This window comes from Homo sapiens, chromosome 17, assembly GCF_000001405.40.
Source record: "Homo sapiens chromosome 17, GRCh38.p14 Primary Assembly".
Lineage (NCBI taxonomy): Eukaryota > Metazoa > Chordata > Mammalia > Primates > Hominidae > Homo > Homo sapiens.
Window position 1 is genome coordinate 16,012,978 of NC_000017.11, and position 20,930 is coordinate 16,033,907.

Sequence of the window (20,930 nt, forward strand, 5' to 3'; positions counted from 1 at the left end):
GGATCGCTTGAGCCTAGGAGTTTTGAGACCAGACTGGGCAACATGGTGAGATCCTGTCTCTTCAAAAAATAAAAAAATTACCTGGGCACGGTGGCACATGCCTGTGGTCCCAGCTACTTAGGAGACTGAGGCAGGAGGATAACTTGAGCCCAAGAGGTCGAGGCTGCAGTGAGCTATCATAGTGCCACTGTCCTTCAGCACAGGCAATAGAGACCCTGTCTCAAAAAAAATTAAAATTATACAAATGAATCATAATATGTATTCATTTTAGGGCATTTTTATGACTTGCATGAGTAATCTTTTCAGAATTAGATCAGAATTCATTTCTAATTTCCTTTGCTTTTATTCATCTTTAATAAATACTGAGTAGCTGTTCTGTGCCAGGTATTCTAGGATTTGAATAGCAGCAAGTAAGGCAAAAGTCCTTGCTCTTCTGGAGCTTAATGCTTAGAGAGATATTTTTCAAGCTTTGAAATTGTATGCATTCTCACTCATCTTTCCTTATAATTTTCTATTTTTTTCCTTTTATTTCTAAACAGTTTTAACTTTTTAGTATATCTGGTATTTTGGTGTGAAGCTGGTGACTGTTTTCTTGCAGATAGTAATCAATCTATATGTACTAATTAGTACATACTTGGGTTTCTTTTGGGGTTTTCCATTCTGATGTATTTACCTGATGAGTTTTATAACAGTATACATTCTTTGAATTATATATTTGAGTTATATGGTAGGACAGTTGACACATGCTTCCTTTGTAAAATTCCTTCCCACATTTCACTGTTTTCACATGAATTTTAGAATTATTTTGTCAAGTTCGTAAAGTGCCTTCAGACTGAATTATCAGATATGCATTATATTTATAAATTAGTTTGGGGAGATTGCCATCTGAATAAGTTAGCATATCTTTGACTGCAAAGAGCAGAAATTTCAGCTAAATTAGGTTTAACAGTAAGGACATTTATGTCAAGTAACTGGCAGTTCAGCAATAGGGAGCAGGCTGTTGAGTTAGTTGACAGTGTGATTCACTGAAATCATAAAGGAACAGGCTCTTTCCATCCTTCCTCACTCATGTATTGGCTTTTTCCCCATGCTCCCCTGGTGGTTGAAACGTGAAACTATAACAATTCCCAGGAATCTCATCCAGAAATGACAGTGTCCAGAGGAAAAGGAGACTTCTTTGATGTTTCTCATAGGATCAAGGTAATCTTTCCTAGAAGTCTCCAAGTAGATTTGTCCTTACTTCTCATTGGTTAGAATTGGGTTACATGCCATTTCTAACCCAGTCCTTGGCAAGAAAAATGGATTATCATGATTGGCTAAAATACATCAGTCTCCTTTCCTGAGGATGTGAGTCATGTGAGAAAAGAACGGATACTGGGACAAAGCAGCTGCTCTGCTAGCAAAGGAAGATCTTTGTAATAGTGAGCCGTCTCACTGAGGAACATTCTATAGCTCCTGCTTATAGTTTTCTTCATATAGATGACAGCTATTTATTAAATTTGATTCTAACTGACTCCTTGACTGAACTCTTTGCTTTTCAGTTGATATTCACACTAATTCCAGATTTATAATCATACATTCCGGAAATCATGATACAGGTTGAGCATCCCCCAGAACCGAAGCTTTCTGAGTGCCAACATGATGCATAAAGAAAGTACGCATTGGAGCATTTGGATTTGGGTTTTTGGTTTTGGGATGCTGGCAGTATCCAAAGGAAATATTCCAAACTCAAAAAATCTGAAATCTGAAACACTTTTGGTCCTAAACATTTCAGATAAGGAATACTTAACCTGTAATTGTTTCCTTCCAGAGAGTTATACTACTGTCTCCCTTCCCCACCCTTTATAAAATTAGTTCATTGGCTGTACCTTCAGAACATCAAGCAATAGTAGTAATAGGAAACTTAGTCTTATATCCAATTTGGTACCAAGATATATGAATAGATTTATTACTATTATATATCTAGAGCGGACCAGGCTTGCTTGTAGGTTAATTGCTTAGTACCTGTGTAGTGCTGGATAATATTTAATGCTGATATGTAACTTGCGTTTCTTATGAGATCCACAGTAAATTTCTTATTGTATTGTTTGTACTATTATGTTTGTATTATTTGTTATCGCAGGATTGTTATTAATGTGATAAAATGAATTGGGATGCTTTCTGTATTTTCTATTCTGAAATAAGTGTGGGATATTGCATTGGAATGGTCTGTTCCTTGAAAGTTGCAGAGTCTGTGATGCCAGATGGACCAGAACTCCTGAGTTAATTCTCCGGCAGCTTTTTTTTTCCTTCTTGATTACTCATGTATTTCTTCCATTTTCTTAATTTCAATATAGGACAGTGCTAAAAACATAAACATTAATAAATATCTATTGAATAAATGAACGTATGGGTGAACAAATTTTATAACTATTAATTTCCTAGAAGAAACTTTAAGGAATTATATTTTTAAAGCATATTTTACACTACTCTTACGTATCTGAGATCCTCTTCCTTTTCTAGATCCTAATTTTATGGATTTCCTTTTAAATTAGTAAAAAGATGTTTCCCATTGATTCCTTCCTCCTCCTTTCCTTGAAAGTTTTTATTTTCATATATTAAATAAAACATTTCTAGAAAGTTATTTTTGATGACATAATATTTGGTTCCATGAGTGCTTAAAGTCTGGAGCCTGAGTTCAGATTCTGGTTCTGCCACTTACTAGCAGTGGACAAGTTATTTAACTTCTCTGTTCTCAGCTTCCTTATCAATAAAATGAAAATAATAATAGAACTTACCTCATAGAGTTACAAGAATTAAATACTCCAGGACTATGACCAGTACTCATTAGGCACTATTATATAAGAGTTTGTGGAATGTGATATATTTACTAATCTTATTTATTATATGATTTGGCACCTATATTTTACTATTATCAATTTATGAAGGACCTTCCTGGCCATTTTATTTATAGTTTCTCCTTGGTTTTTGTTAATTTTGTTTATTCATTCAAAGAGCCAACTTCTGGTTTCATTAATTTTCTTTATTGTCTTTCTATTTTCCATTTCACTTATTTCTACTTTGTCTTTATTACCTCTCTCCTGTTTGCTTTGGGTTTATTTTGTTCCCTTTTTTCTGGTCCCTTAGGTGGGAGATGAGGTTATTGATTTAAGGTTTTTCTTCTAACATAATTGCCATTTATAACTATAAGCTTTAGCTGCATCTCATTAATTTTGGTAAGTTATATTTTCATGTATCTCAAGTATTTTCCAATTTTGGGGGGGATTTCTTCTTTGACCCTTTGGATATTTAGGAGTATATTGATTAATTTCCACATACAGTGAATTTCTCAAATTTTCTTCTGTTGAATCCAGTTTCATTCCATTGTGTTCAGAGAACAACTGTGCTTGATTTTATTTATTGAGATTTGTTGTATGGCCTCACATATGGCTTATCCTGGAGAATGTTGTATGTGCATTTGAGAAGTATGTGTATTCTGTTGAATGGAGTTTTCTATGAATGTCTGTTAGGTCTAGTTGGTTTATAGTGTTATTCAAGTCTTCTGGGTCCTTACTAATTTTGTCTAGTTGTTCTAATTTTTTTTTTTTTTTTTTTTTTTGGGATGGAGTCTTGCTTTGTCGCCCAGGCTGGAGTGCAGTGGCGTGATCTCGGCTCACTGCAACCTCCACCTCCCGGGTTCAAGTGATTCTTGCACTTCAGCCTCCCGAGTAGCTGGGAGTACAGGTGTGCACCACTGCATCTGGCTAATTTTTGTATTTTTAGTTGAGATCGGGTTTCACCATGTTGTCCAGGCTGGTCTCGAACTCCTGACCTCAGGTGATCCGCCTGCCTCAGCCTCCCAGAGTGCTGGGATTACAGGCATGAGCTACTGTGCCCAGCCAGTTTTTGGTATTTTTAGTAGAGACGAGGTTTCACCATGTTGGCCAAGCTGTTCTTGAACTCCTGACCTCAGGTGATCCACCTGCCTGAGCCTCCCAAAGTGCTGGGATTACAGGCATGAGCCACCATGCCCGGCCGATAAATTTTTTAAAATCTTCTTTCTTTATACATGTTTCTGTGCTCTGTTTAGACAGTCTCATAGATATATTTATTTGTTACGAATTGTCCCTTCATCAGGAAAATGATTCCTTTTTCCCTATTTAAGGTATTTGTTACGAATTCTAGTTTTATATTATCTACTATATCTTACCCTTAACTTTTCTGAGTCATTTTCAGTGTATCTTTTATAGAAGGCTATGGTTGGAATTTTTTTAAAACCTGAGTATCATTGTCTTCTGATACAGAATCTGAAAACCTTTTAAAAATTAGTGAGGCGAAAAAAATTAGCCAGGCATGGTGACGGGTGCCTATAGTCCCAGCTACTCGGGAGGCTGAGGCAGGAGAATGGCACGAACCCAGAAGCCAGAGCTTGCAGTGAGCCGAGATCGCGCCACTGCACTCCAGCCTGGGCGACAGAGTGAGACTCCGGCTCAAAAAAAAAAAAAAAAAAAAAAGTATTCAGGCTGGGTGCAGTGGCTCACGCCTGTAATCCCAGCACTTTGGGAGGCTGAGGCAGGTGGATCGCCTGAGGTCAGGAGTTCAAGACCAGCCTGGCCAACATAGTGAAACCCCGTCTCTACTAAAAATACAAAAAATGAGCTAGGTGTGGTGGCGGGTGCCTGTAACCTCAGCTACTCGGGAGGCTGAAGCAGGAGAATCGCATGAACCTGGGAGGCGGAGGTTGCAGTGAGCCGAGATCACGCCATTGCACTCCAGCCTGGTTAAGAAGAGCGAAACTCCATCTCAAACAACAAAACAAAACAAATTAGTATTGAAAGGGATAATTGGTCTAATTATTGCATTTTAAAAAGTGCTTTCCATTTTTGTTAATTCCTTTGTTTTCAGTTCCTCTTACAGGAACTTTTCCCTCTCTGATCTGTATTTGTATTTTGTAGGGAAGGTATATGTATATATGATTTTCAGTTGTATAAGGAGTAACCTAAACATTTCTTAAAGACAGTTGACTCAGAGGAAAAAAAATTTTTTTCAGTTTCTTCTCTAAAATGAGATGAGTACATTTTAACATTATCCTTCTTTCCCTTTTCCTCACTTGTTTTTTCTCTGTGATCTGGAATTTTAGACTTAGTGGAATTTATTGCAGAGGAGAATTCTAAAGCCTGCATATTTGCCTTGTTTTTTAAATAGTCTATTTTCTCCTGCTCAGATGCTTTGCTGGACTCAGAAGTTAAATGAGCATAAGGTTAGGGAGTTGTCTGTTTATGAAGCTTGCTTAGTCCCTGGTGAACCTTCATTTTTAGCATCCAGTTCTCTGGAGCTTCTGTAGTCTATTCTGGCTCAATGCTTCTGTCCCACATGCTCTGGCCTCTTACCCTGGAATGTCATTTACCTGTATGTTGACCTCTCTTCTCTATCCTTCACATTATCCCCTCTTCCATCAGTTTTCTCATGTATATTTTGGGAGTTTCTTCAGTTGATATTCCACATTACCAATTTATTATTAAGAAAAGTCAGTTCTGTGCTTTTCTTTTGATTTGTTTTTTGTTTTTTGAGATAGGGTCTCACTGTGTCGCCCAGGCTGGAGTGCAGTGGTGCAGTCATGGCTCACTGCAGCCTCAACCTCCCAGGCTCAACTGATCCTCCTACCTCAGCCTCCCAAGTAGCTGAGACTGCATGCTCATGTCACCATGCCTGGCTAATTTCCGGATTTTTTCATAGAGGCGGAGTTTCACCATCTTGCCCAGGCTGGTCTTGAACTTCTGAGCTAAAGCAATCTACCTGCCTTGACCTCCCAAAATGCTGGCATTACAGGCATGAGGCATCACGCCTGGCTTCCCTCTGATGTAATTTTTTAAAATTAGATTTCAAACAAAAGTAAAGTTTTGAGGACTTACCAAATATCTGTGTACTTTCAGCCTTGGCCAGATTTCAATATTTTACCATATTTGCTTTAGAATTTTTTTTGGATATTTAAATCCCTGTATACCCTTCCCTCCCTGCCTAGGGGTAGCTACTATCCTGAGTTTGGTTTTGTTTGCCTACTTATTGCACTTGTATATATCAATAAACAATATATTGCTGGGTACAGTGGCTCACACCTGTAATCCCAGCACTTTGAGAAGCCGGGACAGGTGGATCACCTGAGGTTAGGAGTTCAAGACCAGCCTGGCCAACATGGCGAAACCTTGTCTCTACTAAAAATACAAAAATTAGCCCAACATGGTGGCGGGCGCCTGTAATCCCCACTACTCGGGAGGCTGAGGCAGGAGAATCGCTTCAACCTGAGAGGCAGAGATTGCAGTGAGCCGAGATCGTGCCACTGCACTCCAGCCTGGGTGACAGAGTGAAGACTCCGTCTCCAAAACAAAAAAACAATATACAATAGGGCTAATATGTTTTTAAACTTAATATGAATGGTATCATACTGTACAATTGGTTTTGTAGTTTGCTTTTGTCACTCAATATTATGTTGATGAGATTTATTGGGCTGCTATTTAAAGCAGTTTTCTTAGCACAGAGGCCCTGTTTGCTTGCCAAACTGCATGTCTGCTGGGTTGCGTCTGTCTTTAAAGGGTGACTTCCTCTAATTAATCCACTGGGGTGAGGGGTAAGTTGAACCTGTTTTTTCTGTTCACAAGTGTGGATACAAGCTAAAGGTGGCCCTGTGTGGTTCCCTCACTACAACCATGGTATAGTAGTCCATTGTAGAAATATACCACAGTTCTATTGATGGACCTGTTGGGTTATTCTATATGTTTTGCTGTTAAAAGTCATACTTCACTGAACATTCTTGGACTTGCATCTTTGTGCACACCTGGAATATTACATAAAAGTGGAGTTGCCAGGGTGCATATACCAAATTGCTTAACAGGCTGGGTGTAGTGGCTCACACCTGTAATCCCAGCATTTTGGGAGGCTGAGGCAGGCAGATCATTTGAGGTCAGGAGTTGGAGACCAGCCTGGCCAATATGGTGAAACCCCATCTCTACTTAAAAAAAAAAAAAAAAAAGCCAGGCATGCTGGTGGGTACCTGTAATCCCAACTACTTGGGAGGCTGAGGCATGCGAATCGCTTAAACCCAGGAAGGCAGAGGTTGTAATGAGCTGAGATCAAGCCACTGCAAGACTTTGTCTCAAAAACAACAACAAAAACCAAATTGCTGATCAAAGTGGTTTTACCAGTTTACATTTTGACTAGCAGTATATTAGTGTTCATGATGTTCTCTGTATATCTTTGTTATCAGATTTTTTTGATAATCTGCTGGGTTTGAAAAGGAATTTCATTGTGGCTTCACTATGTGTTTCTGATTACTGTATTTATCGGTTATTCAGATTACCTGCTCTGAAAATTATTTCTTCATATCTTTTGCTTATATTTTTGAGGGGTTGTCTTTTTCTTAACGATTCGTAAGAGTTCCTTACGTATTCGATCATTTTGTATTTTTGTGGGTTACGTATCTCTTTGTAGCTTGTCTTTTCACATTAGGGCATTTGATGTAGATTAAAAATTTGTATATTAACAGAATCTTGATATTTATCTTCATAGTTTGTGCTTCTTATGTCTTGATTTGTAATGACATCTCTATATTGGGTTTTCATAGATTCATGGGGTGCTAATGTTTAAATCTGTAATTATAACTATTTTTAGTTTCATTATAATTTTTCCCTATTTAATTCAGTACTTTATTTCCCCCACTACCCCCCACCCCCCAAGAGACAAGGTCTTCCTTTGTTGGCCAGGCTGAAGTGAGTGCAGTGACACGATCACAGCTCACTGCAACCTTAAACTCCTGATATCAAGTGATCCTCCCACCTCAGCCTCCAGAAGAATTAGGAGTACAGGCACGTGCCACCATGTCTGGCTTATATATATTTTTGGGGGGTGGTGGGGGAGAGTAGAGATGAGGTTTCGCTATGTTGTCCAGGCTGGTCTCGACCTCTTGGGCTGAAGTGGTCCTCCTGCCTCAGCCTCCCAAAGTACAGGATTGCAGGTGTGAGCCACCACGCCTAGCCCTTTTATAATTCCTTCTATTTGTTCATTCATTCAACAATTCAGTCAGAAATACTGAGTGCCCATTACACACTAGATATGCTGCTAGGTGCTGAGATACAGATATAAATAAAAGAAAGTTGGCTGGGCGCAGTGGCTCACGCCTGTAATCCCAGCACTTTGGGAGGCCAAGGCGGGCGGATCATGAGGTCAGGAGTTCAAGACCAGCCTGGCAAATATTGTGAAACCCCGTCTCTAATAAAAATACAAAAAAAATTTAGCTGGGCGTGGTGGCGCACCTGTAGTCCCAGCTACTCGGGAGGCTGAGGCAGAAGAATCACTTGAACTCAGGAGGCGGAGGTTGCAGTGAGCTGAGATTTTGCAACTGCACTGCAGCCTGGGCGACAGAGTGAGACTTCGTCTCAAAAAAGAAAAAACAAAAAAACAAAGTCACCGCCTCATGGAGCTACATTTCTGGTGGGGGAAAGACGCATAGTAAGCACTACCCAGTAAGTTGGTGTGTCCAAAGTGCTATGTAGATATTTATGAAGGAATATGTATACCAGGAATATGTTGGGGCAGTATGGTGTCTTATAGAGGGGGTAGGGAAGGCCTTGTTAGTATGAAACCTGGTGAATGGGAGAGAATAGGCCAAGTGGCTATTTGTGAGGGAAAAAAATTACAGACAAAGGGCAATTACAGGTACAAGACTCTGAGGTGGTGTATGCTGCTTGACTTACTGGAAGTAAGGAGTTAGAATTACTGGAGTTGTCTGATTTTCTAAAATTTTGGGGGATGAGGCCTGCTTTTTTACTGTCTGCTGATTCTCATTTATGATGAATTGTCATGTTTACTAATCTTGGATTATACATTCATCTTCAGCAAGGTTTTAGCTATAAGTGAGATTCCAGAATAGTTTTGTGTCTTCCAGGCACTCAGCTCCTGGCCGAAGTGGATGCTACAAATTTAGACATCAAATTTACAGGGTAGTCATTTTTCTCCTCTTTAGATTCCAGACTTGGCCATTCAAGGCTCCTTGTTGTCTCCCTGTGCCTGTGGTCGGGGGGTTAAGGGGAGTGTAGGCTGGAGTGGTGCAATTTTTTTCACATACATGCTTTTCCTGGGGTTGTGGTCCTAATGGTAATCATCCTGGTTTATGCATTGGCTTCAGATCTCATTTTGTTTAGTACACATCAACAGCTTTAATTCCTGGATTACAGAGACAACTCAAGCTACAACAAAAACCGGGCTTCTGCTGTGTCAACTCACAGACTCTCCACTTTGGGTTTTAGCTTACTCCTAATTTGTGGCTCTTGGGAGCTCAGCTGTGCAGGGAAAGGATGTGTGTTATAGTTTATCTAAGGTTTCCAGGTGTTTGAAGCAGATGGGTTTCATCTATAGTGTTACGTTAGATTCTGCTTTATTCCCTCCACTAAAACCATTAACACTCATCAGAAAGTGCTAATCAGTTGATTAACAAGAGATTTAGTTTAGCAGAAATTTCAGGATATTCTTGGAATTTGGGCAACAAATATCTCTAGTTTCAAAGACCCTTGTAGACTTTCCTATATTGCTATTGATGGTGAGGGGGTAGGGGAGTGTTAGAGGCCTATGCTCAAGTTTTCCTAAATTAGAGATGCTCTTTTGCTATTGTTACAAATGCATATAATTGCTCCAGTACTTTATCAAATTCCCTTTAGTCTATATTTATGTAAACCTAGTTTGATATACTGAACCATTCTTTTATTCCTGGAATAAATGCTGTTTGGTCATCTTAATACATCTGATTATTCCATTTGGTAATATTTTGAGTAAAAAATTCTATAGTGAATCCTGTTTGCTTCATGGACTGAGTATAGTAGCGTATCTTTTTCTGTGACTAGAAGTTATTTATGAAAGAGAATCATTTATGTTTGAAGAAGTAAATATGCCTCAGTTTCAAATGGTCCTTTAAGGGCTCTGTATAAACGATTCCAATATATTTCTCAGTTGTTATTAAAGTACTTGATTTTTTTCTTGTCTAACTTTTAGCAATTTTTATATTAATATTTCAAAGAACCATGTTTAAGTAAATTACTAGCAAAGGAACTCTTTGGGGGAACTTTATGAAATTTTCTCTTGGCAGTTGCTAAAAGTTTTCTTACGTTTTCTAAAAGTTCAGTAATAGTACATTTATCTTTAGAAAAGTTTGCTTTTCAGAAAGTGTTTCCATTTTTCTTGTGGTCAGAATGTGCTGTGAATTTTAAATGTATTTTTAAGATATTATAGCTAAATTGTACCTCACTGTTTTCTCTAAAAAGTTTTACTGCTTTTGCTTCCACTCCACTATTCAGTGATAACAAGGGTAACAAGTTTCCACTAGAATTGCTTGTCACTTTATTCTTGTACTTTTGTTTTACTACTGAACATCTTTTTAAATCGTTGCCACAAAATATCTCGCTTTTATCATTTTCACATTGCTCTAGTATATCAACTTTGGAAACAAGACATCATTCTATTTATAGCATTCTGTTTTTAGTAGTGGTATTTCCATTTACAAAATACAGTAATTCTTGATCGCTGAAGACGTCAAATCCTAGAAAACATAGCATGCCTACGCGTGATGTTAACATCATTCTCGAATAGTTGTTGGTTGAAGATTCATTTGATGAATCCGATTTTTCAGAAATAGACGAGTCTGATGATACAGACGATTCTGGTGTTAGTTCTCTGTAGAAATAACTCCAAGAACACTTTTAATAGTTTATTTTCACATTGAAAATCAGATTTGCTCCAGCCTCAAAGAGTATATTTATGTAAAATTAGGTAAGCGATATAGAAGCAAGCTGCACTTTTTTTCTAAATGGGAAGGTATTAAAAAAGAAAAGTCTCATTTTAGTAACATAGTCTTCCTTAAACTCTATGCCACTTGTAAGATTTCTGAAAACTGAAGACATAGAAGGGAACGGGCTTGATATGAACGACAGCTTTGCTGGTAAATAAACCCAACTGAACCTAAGATTATCTAAGGTAACCTCTTTTTCTAGTCTTTTATTGTGTGAACAGTTACCTCCTGCTGAGTTGTTGGCAGAATTTCCATATAATCTTGCTTATGACCATTTCTACATTATTTGTATCATCTTTTAGAAGTCTTACCCAGGTTGATATAGGTTACCGTTCTCTAGATCTGTGTCTCCAATTCTTCTTACATGGCATTAGGTATTTTAAGCTTGTTTTTTTTCAGACATCGTATAGTCAATTCTTGAATGTGTTGAGAGGTGCTATGTCATTGTAAGCTTTATTCTTCTTCTCTGAATGATTAGCTTGTTTAAATTTTACCTTAAATTCTTTTTTTTCTTTTTTTTTCTTTTGAGACTGAGTCTTGCTCTGTCGCCCAGGCTGGAGTGCAGTGGTGTGATCTCGGCTCACTGCAAGCTCCACCTCCTGGGTTCACGCCATTCCCCTGCCTCAGCCTCCTGAGTAGCTGGGACTACAGGTACCCGCCACCACGCCTGGCTAATTTTTTTTTTTTTTTTGTATTTTTAGTAGAGACGGGGTTTCACCATGTTAGCCAGGATGGTCTCAATCTCCTGACCTTGTGATCCACCCGCCTCGGCCTCCCAAAGTGCTGTGATTACAGGTGTGAGCCACCGCGCCCGGCCTTTACGTTGAATTCTTTAAATTCAGCTTGTGACTTTGCACTTCAGGATTCTGAGTGTTCTCTGTCTTCTTCCTGCATTGTTTTTCTTATACCATACAGGTTTTTCATTGGCCTTGACTTTTTGTTGTTAACTCATTCTTCTTTGGGTTTATTTTCATTTGTTTCTGCTGAATATTATTTGTTTCAAACTAAAAATAACATTCCACATTTTAATTGATGTGCGGACTCTTAATCTACTTAAAATGTGGGCTGAAGTTCCATGATTCCAGCTAGTCTGGAATAGGTCATTTAACTGGATGTTAATTCACCTACATTGTTCCCTAAGTGACATGTGGGTCCCATTCTGCTGACATATTTGTGGGTCCTGGTAACAACCATTTGGGTAGATTTGCTGATTCCTCTTTTCTCCTTAGTGGAAGAGAAAGCCAATACCCACCTCCTCTTGGGCATGTGCTTAGACGCCTGTGCTCGCTACCTTCTGTTCTCCAAGCAGCCGTCACAGGCACAAAGGATGTATGAAAAAGCTCTGCAGATTTCTGAAGAAATACAAGGAGAAAGACACCCACAGGTAAGGGAGGAAAACACAGAAGGGGGAATATAAAACAAAGGCTTCAAAATTGAAGGGTGTGAAATGTCACACTCATTGGTAACAGGATCAGCAGATGGTCCTAGATCCTCCTTGGTCCCCAGTCTACTCATTTTCTTATCACCAGCACCCTCACCCCAACTACTTGTTTCAGAAAGGATTTGAGACTAGTTATCAGTTACTAGGTCTGCCCAGAACTTTTTGCATGATCCATGGTTTGCACAACAGAGCAACCTTTCTACAGAGCAGGACTGGTCAGGCTTCAATGGACACAGCACAGTATTTCAGAGTGGGGTCTCTAGATACCCCTATTAGAAGCTTATGAGGAACGGTTTAATACACAAATATCCTTGCCTCCCTTGCCCCACAGTTAAAATGGCAAGAGGTGAGGGAAGGGCAAGGGACCACATTAAAAACACTTAAACCATTGGCATATTATAGAATTTAAGTATAACGTGTAAAGCTCTGTGTTAGAACATTAAACACATTGAATTGAAATCATCTCTTTGGGTCTCCCCTCCATCCGAGTAAGTTCTTAGATGTAAGGAGTGCATTGCTTTGTCTATGAATGCTTGCTACTGCCAATATAAGACATAACAATTTTAACTGAATGTGTCCCAAGGCTGGGGTACATGGGTAGGGTGAGTAATATGTTTTGGAAGAAAAGGGAGGTTGAGCTATGAATTATCTCCATGAAAGGGATTTATAACTTATTATGAAGAGTCCCTTAATGGAGTGAGGAATAATAAACAAGCAAGTACAGAATTCAGATCTCCAAGTACTAGAGTCAGGGGGCTTAAAGCATGGCATCAGTGGGGAAGTAGGTATGGAAGTCTACCTCTTCCATACTGAAATTCCATTTCAGTAGCCAAATTAAAAAAACTCCTACTGGGCATCTTCCTAAAATAGATGGTGTATTTCTTGTTTTTGATGAGCCTCAGGGTTATCAGCAGGAACAACATAATACAGTGGGGCTCCAGAGGCAATCAAACCATAGGAGGCTGGCTTCTCAAAGTTGCTCAGCCTTAAAGGAGATAATATGTGTAGCTTCTTGCTGTTGTTTTTCATTTGGTGCTTCTAACTGGGTAATTAGTTGGATTAATAAGCACTGTCTGTTACCTAATTTCCAGATTTGTATTATTTCCCAAAAGGTCGAACTAACATTGTCCACTGTACAATGTGATTATGATTAACAAATGCCCACAAATTTGTTAAAGAATGGTATCCCTCATCTTTTGTGGAATGCTAGGAAAGATGAAATCTTATGTATTCAGAGTTGGATGCACTCCACATTAAAGTTCTGTGAAGGCATGTTTTTAAAGAAAAAATTGTTTTTTCTTTTACATACAGACCATTGTGCTGATGAGTGACCTGGCTACTACCCTGGATGCACAGGGCCGCTTTGATGAGGCCTATATTTATATGCAAAGGGCATCAGATCTGGCAAGACAGATAAATCATCCTGAGCTACACATGGTACTCAGTAATCTAGCTGCAGTTTTGATGCACAGAGGTAGGTAGCAATGTAAACTTAACTGACTTGCTTTAAGGGAGGGATGTCACTGGATTGATAGATTTGTGAAGTGGTATGTAGGGAGGGCAAGGGCCAACGAATAAACATGTAAATTAAAAGACTGGTTGAATGGCAGAAAAAGGAGGTATTGATTAGGTTGAAGTACTATTGTGTTCAATTCACGTAACTTCTACAGACCTGCACTAGCCTGTCGAACCCCATCAAGCTGGAGAAAACCTTGCAATGATAGTACCTTACGTCAGTAGTGCTTTACAGATTTCTAAATGTGTTCAGTTACAATGTGTTTCTCACAGTGTGCTGGTGAAGCTTTATGACAGGAAGTATCATTTTGTCAGACATTTCTTAGTGTCAGCACACTATACCGATCATTTTCAGAAACCTGGGATGACAGGTGTATTACACATACCACCATTCATGAAATCTTGGGCTCATCAAAGTCCTCAGGATATACTGGAAAGGGCCGTTAGGAATCCCACAGCATTCAGTGGAGTTCCAGCCTGTCAGATGGGGATGAAATGAGGCAGCACCAGCTTGTCGCTTCATAAGCACACAGTAAATTAGCCCTATATCTGCATTCATGCTCTCTCTTCAGAATCACCTTGAAAACATACACTTTCTTCTTACTGTCCCTTCTCTCTGGGTTATTTTAGAACGATATACACAAGCAAAAGAGATCTACCAGGAAGCACTGAAGCAAGCAAAGCTGAAAAAAGATGAAATTTCTGTACAACACATCAGGGAAGAGTTGGCTGAGCTGTCAAAGAAAAGTAGACCTTTGACAAATTCTGTCAAGCTCTAAATCCATTTTTGTGTAGGGAGAATAATGTCTAGTAATGTGGAAGAATAGCTATCATTCCTGTCTCTGTGGCACCCGATCAATGGCTTAAATCTGTCGTTTTTGATATTCAGGTTTCCTCAATTTAGCCTTAGTGAAGGAGGGGTTGTACACACTGCCATTTTTGTATTTTAAAGGAAAAATGACTTTCATTCCCAACTGATTATGACCTTTCAGGATGTCGTCAAGTGATGCTTTCAGTTGTAACACGTGACTTGGTGCTGTCCCTGCTGGTCTAAGTAGAACTGTAGATTCATATGGGCTGGTGTTCCTGTGCGCTGTGGGTGTGGTGATTCAGCCTGGCATTTCTACCATAAGTTTTTGGTCTGCTGATTTGCTGCCCTGTCTTCTCTTACTTTACTTTATCAATACCTGGCAAACTGACCAGAATTACCTTCCTCATGGCAAAGGGGGATTATGGTGAATTGTTGTTCTTATAGTCTGTTTCATGAAGCACAAGTGGAATTTAATACATAAAAGAGAAAAATATCTTAGTTTGCTACCAGCATCCAGCATGAAGTTGTAAAGTGGGGATTAGGCACGTGACAGTATAGCACCCATTTGAATTTAAATAAAAGTGAACCATATTTATCTGGTTATATAAAACTAAAAATGGGGGTGTTTATATAAAACTAAAAACTAAGAATGATGTAACCTTTTGTCTGTGTTATCTGAACACTCTACTTCCTTTGCAGCCTTAGTCACACAACTGAGTCATCTCAAGTACTCTTTAAGGACACACAGCCCAGGCTGTTCTGAGTCAGAATAGGCCCCTACAGGTATATTTTAAAACTCTTCGTAATTCTAATGTGTACTGCTGGTATAGCTGAACTACTGACCTGGATCTTAGTCCTAGCCTTTTTGCTTTTGCAATTTCAGTATCTTCATCTCTAAACTAGGGAAACACTGGGATTCTTTCTTAGCTGTGGGGGAAGGTATTTGGTTAGATGACTTTGAATGAATAGACTGCTGTGCTGAAAGAGCTTTATCACACTGTCTCAAAGTATGTAAAGATACATAGGTGGATGCTCTTACTGCAGCAGTCATGAATACATTTTTAGCCATTTACCTAAGGAAAAAGACAGTTTTTCTAGGTACCATGAAGGAAGATTGACCCTGTTGGTATGCCTGTGGGGGTGGGATGTGAGTGGGACTGATAAACTGATACTTTTGGTTCGTATGTACATACTGGAAGAATCTTCATAATAAATGAGACTACACAACAATATTGTATGTATCCCAGTAATCTTTGCATTTCTCAAAAAAAAAAAAAAAAAAAAAAAAAAAACTTTCTGAAGAAAATAAAAACACCAGAAACCTTGAGGTCCAAATCCTCAGGGATTAGACTAAAACTAGAGTTTTGTATGTTGCAGATGTAAATTTCTTCCTATTTTCTGTCTAATCTCATATTATTTACCATGCAGCTAATGCCGTTTACCAAGTCTAGCTCAGAGAGATAAGATACAATATAAATCAGACTGTTTCAGTAGAAACCAGTATTAACGTATGGTGATTTCTTAAAAAAATTAATGTCAACCACTCACCTTTTGCATTGAGAATGTTTTTACCTTTTCACAACTGCAGGGGTTACTGAAAGGTTTTTCATTCCAAGTTTTATTTATTTATTAATTTTAAATCATCCACAGTGACTCAGCTCATGGTCTCGTTGTTGGAAACACTAGGAGTTTTCAGGACAGTCTCTTCATGTGGGTGTTTTCATTACAGTTCATTTACACTGTTGTAAAATAAGGTACTGAAGCAAAAGGAGGACTGATCTCCTTTACTGATTGGTCTAAATTCAAAAGTGAATTGGTTAAAATCGTGTCATTAAAATTTTTTAACTGTCCAATGGTCACTGGAGTTTTCTGGGCATAAATATTTTTAAAATAGAATCACTCAGTGTACCAAAATTAAAAGCATTATGAAATTTGCAGTCATAAACATGCAGTGGAAAACTGGCTGTCAGAATACTTTTATGAAGAGTATTAGGAAGACCTTAATTTAGTTCTGGGTGCTAAAAAAATCACGTGTAAGGATATAGTGTCAGAACACTGAAATCTAAGTCTACAAAGAATATCATGTTTTGGTTTGCAGTGAACCACAGTAAGTTGTCAGTGCTGCTCTGTGCTTACCACTTAAATCATGATAAGGTGAACCTCCATAGGTAAACCATGTGAGAATTCTGTCCTTTCATTTATTTTGAACCAAGAACTATTATTGGATTTTAACTCTCATTCTGAGATTTCTTCTCCAGGTGATGGTAAATAAAGTAATACGCACATGCATTATGATGAGGATGGAGGGAGTGGTTCACAGCACCTCACCTTCGGGTCCTCAGGTAGAACTGCAAGAGTAAGAAGTTAGGCTCTGATCTGACATGTTCTCAGAAACTATACGGTTGACCTTCAAATAATGCAGGAGTTAGGGGCATAGACCCCCTAAGTAGTCAAAAATCCACATCTAACTTTGACTCCTCCAAAACTTAACTACTCATGGCCTACTGCTGACCAGAAGTCTTACGGATAACATAGTCGATTGACACATATTTTGTATATGTATTATATACTGTATTCTTACAATAAAGTAAGCTAGAGAAGAGAAAATGTTTGTTAAGATTATAAGGAAGAGAAAATATATTTACTATTCATTAAGTGGAAGTGGATCATCATGAAGGTCTTCATCCTTGTCATCTTCATGTTGAATAGGCTGAGGATGAGAAGGGGTTGGTCTTGCTATCTTGGGTGGCAGAGGTGGAAGAAAATCCATGTATAAGTGGACCCACACAGTTCAAACCCGTGTTGTTCAAGGGTCAACTGTATTCTGACTCAGAATAGCTTAAGACCCTCAGGGTCATAGAAAAATACCATCATAATCTCTTTTATGGTAGGTTGGCAATATAAATTATTAACAAACTCTAAAATATTACCAGTACCTGAAAAAAAAAAATTCAGCAGAAAACTGTGAAGTGGAACATTTAGTCACTGTTTTTCATTCATTTTGAAATTTTTATATGTTTACATATATCTGTTGTAAAAAATACCAACTTTCCAAGTACTAGGAATGCTGACCACTAAGCCTGATCTAAAGTTTATGTTGGGGACCTCAGGTATACAGGAGTGGAACAGGGACAGGAGTGAAAGCTTTGACTGAAGACAAATGTGGGCTTATGGCCTATCTCTGTCACTAATTTAACTATATGGGCAAAGTACTAAACCTGTGTCTTCATCTGTAACATAGGGATTAGACACCAGTGATAGGAGGGTCTTGGTCAGTAGCTAATCACAGAGCTGCTTCCTTAAAAGCCTTGAGTACTTTTGTTTAAAAGTTTAGGTCTACTTGAAAGTCTGTAAAGTGCTAATTTTTATCATCCTGAGAGATCTGTTTCTCCCCTTTCCAGTTACCAGTGGCATTCTCCCAAAACTGTTAGTATCTATGTTATAGAAAGATACTTAAATGCTATGATAAATTGTATGAAAAAAACTTTAAAATTCAGCAAGCAATTCTTAATGAAAGATAAAACTGGCCCTCTAGTACCATAATTAGTTTAGAATTCAGTCTTTTAAATTATTTGCACCTTGAGACTCTGTGAAATGAAAACATTTAACAGTAAACTCTTGTCCCAAGGGAGCAAAGTGAGAGTAAATGCTGGTCCATAGTGATGGGGAAAAAGGACTGTGTTCACCATGAGTTTTTCAGGATGCAGCATAAAGCTTATCTAAATACTACACAGATCATTATCTTTTAACCCAACCAATCATATATTCAAACTAAGGGAAAAATATGTAAGCTTTTCCTTTGGAACCTGAGACACCAGGAGCCTTAAACCACAAATAATCTACTGTAGCTATGGACAGGGTAGTCAAATTTATTTCAAAACAAAAGCTTTGTTGGGCTGCATCAAATGCAGGAGAAAAGGAATACTTAGGGGCATGGTTAAATTACCAGTGTGCGTAACAGTGAGGTATGCCTCAAATAAGCCTTTAAAACTTTATAAACTGAACTAGAACATACCCATGCAGTAATATTTTTTCAGTGCTACTAATGAAAAAAAAAAATTAAAGCCTGCACTGGAAATTTACAATATGGCAGAATTTGTTACTTTTACCTTTTGACCCTAATGTACAGATTTTATGACAGGGTCTGTGTTAAAAATCTAAACATTTTCACAAGATTTTAAACATCACTGGAAAGCTGAATTTAGAGGAAACAATATCAGATAAAAGTACAATGCCCGTGACAGCCAACATTATGTAACTGGGCTGTATGAGGTTGTTTAGAAGGCTAGGGTTAAAAAGATAGATAGACAAAAAGATTTTTAAAAATCACCCCCAAAGTTGATGCGCTGATTTGAACATAAGTACACCAGATACTACAGCAAGGGGATATACACTGCAAAAAGGTCATCTATTTACAGAAGAGTGATTTAAAGACATTATGGTTTTCTTTACAGATGTAAGAACAGCAACTGTTCACTTTTTAAAAACTCTACATCTCAACCCTCCACTATTATTATAGTCCACTGAATTGCCTGTATCAAAGGCAGTTTTTTGTTTGTTTTTTTCCCATTTGACTCTCCAAATGAACTTCCATCATTTCTTCATCATCTGTGGGCTGGCTCTCCTGAAAAGTCTCAGGGAATAAGTCACAGGAGGGCAGGTTTTTGACCTGCTACTAAAAATTAAACCACAAAAACTAGAGATCCCTCTCCTGCACCCTGTTCCCCTCACTTTGTGCAGTTCAGTCATCACTATCCGACAGGGTCTCGTACTGTGCTGAGAGCAGTGGGGCAGGCTCTCGCTCCCAGATCCTGTTCTGTTGGTGAGGAGCTGCTTGGTTCACCGCAGAGGGAGCACATGCAATCGGTGTTGGTGGAGTACTGCTGAGCATCCGCATAGTCAGAGGGTTATAAGGAAACTGAGTTGAGCCTGACAAAAGAAAAATTAGGTTTTCATTGTCATGAACATAACTGGTATTTCATCCAATCCAACTTTTGTAGGATGGAGTAGAATAGGATTATTGTAAAATGGTCATGTGACACCATGAAAGCAAAATGAATACAACACGGAATGGCCAAAGTCTCACCACTTAAATCCTAGCCAATGATATATAGCAGTCAGTGCGGGTCCAAAAAAGAAGAGTAACATGAGTAGCATATGAGTGAGGGCTGCTGAGCCCAGAAGAGAAAGCCCAGGCTAGATTTTTAGTTAAGTCTATATCAGATGTTTCCATGGAGAATCACAGAGTCAGGTTATAGCAAGAGCTTTCTTAACTCTTCAAGAGAAATGCAAGAGTATAGTTCTCAGACGACAATGGACAAGTACCCAGGAACGTCTGCAGACTGAGGGGCAGCAGGATGCAAGTCATCTGCTGAATCTCACTGGGCAGATTTTAAAGTCTACAAGATTGAGAAATGAGGTAATTAATGAACACTGCTACCCTTCATCAGTTTCTAGATGTTTAACTGTCCCCAGAAAGCCTCCTACAGCTTAAGAAAACGCAAAAACAGGCTGGGCGCAGTGGCTCACGCCTGTAATCCCAGCACTTTGGGAGGCCAAGGTGGGCAGATCACCTGAGGTCGGGAGTTCAAGACCAGCCTGACCAACATGGAGAAACCCCATCTTACAAAATTAGCCGGGTGTGGTGGTGCATGCCTGTAATCCCAGCTAGTCGGGAGGCTGAGGCAGGAGAATCGCCTGAACCCAGGAGGCGGAGGTTGCTGTGAGCCAAGATAGCACCATTGCACTCCAGCCTGGGCAACAAGAACGAAACTCCGTCTCCAAAAAAAAAAAAAAAAAAACCCAAAAACATAAAACATAACCATTTAATCAAATAATAAATCTCATGTATGGCCTAATTAATTCTTCCCTAAGAGATCTGAGAAGCAGCAACCACTGGTCTGGGCTGTAAGCTTTCAAACTCAAAACAACCACTTTGCATGTGACATGAGTTTTATAATGCAAAAGCCTGATATAATTTACATATATCTTACAGGGAAGGGCACATTTCAGATTTTTTTCAGTGACATATTTGTATTTAATCCTAAGGAAAAGATGGCTTATAATTCTCTGAAACTCTAAAATTCGTAATATCCCAGTTTTAAAAGTCTGTTGCTTTTTAAAGCTACTGTGATCATAGTTATTACATACATTAAGTTTACAAATAGGCACAAAATAGAAAATAATAAGTATCCTGGAGTATTGTTTTTCATCAGTTTGTGTAAATGTAGTGAACGTACAGACAGATGATGGCTTTTTTTGTTTTTGTTAAGATGGAGTCTCTTTTTGTTGCCCAGGCTGGAGTGCAGTGGCGCAATCTCAGCTCACTGCAATTTCCGCCTCCCAGGTTCAAG

General features: G+C 38.7%; 2 protein-coding genes across 56 annotated transcripts in view, besides 2 other annotated features; one reads left to right on the plus strand and one right to left on the minus strand.

Moving 5' to 3' along the window:
- TTC19 (tetratricopeptide repeat domain 19) overlaps positions 1–20,930 on the plus strand; it is a 45,192-nt gene that overhangs the window by 13,154 nt on the left and 11,108 nt on the right. For 2 of the 4 annotated variants that reach the window (NM_001271420.2, NM_017775.4), the window contains exons 8-10: positions 12,040–12,194; positions 13,563–13,725; positions 14,397–16,427. In NM_001271420.2, coding sequence (NP_001258349.1) covers positions 12,040–12,194; positions 13,563–13,725; positions 14,397–14,545 — 467 coding nt within the window. In that variant the 3' untranslated portion in view covers positions 14,546–16,427. Of the gene's footprint in view, positions 1–12,039; positions 12,195–13,562; positions 13,726–14,396; positions 16,428–20,930 lie in introns of those variants that run through there. The other 2 variants (XM_017024802.3, XM_017024801.3) reach the window with 1 other exon arrangement.
- Positions 12,245–12,445: a silencer, noted in NCBI's record as "peak2750 fragment used in MPRA reporter construct". NCBI's record gives its function as "represses an SCP1 promoter by STARR-seq MPRAs in K562 erythroleukemia cells {active_cell/tissue: K562}" and the evidence as "EXISTENCE:reporter gene assay evidence [ECO:0000049][PMID:32103011]".
- Positions 15,210–15,259: a silencer, noted in NCBI's record as "silent region_8215". NCBI's record gives its function as "represses an Ori minimal core promoter by ATAC-STARR-seq in GM12878 lymphoblastoid cells {active_cell/tissue: GM12878}" and the evidence as "EXISTENCE:reporter gene assay evidence [ECO:0000049][PMID:35858748]".
- NCOR1 (nuclear receptor corepressor 1) overlaps positions 16,180–20,930 on the minus strand; it is a 186,378-nt gene continuing 181,627 nt past the window's right edge. For all 52 annotated transcript variants that reach the window (NM_006311.4, XM_011524086.4, NM_001439115.1 and 49 more), the window contains one exon: positions 16,180–19,506. In NM_006311.4, the coding sequence (NP_006302.2) occupies positions 19,319–19,506 (188 nt within the window). In that variant the 3' untranslated portion in view covers positions 16,180–19,318. The remainder of the gene's footprint in view (positions 19,507–20,930) is intronic.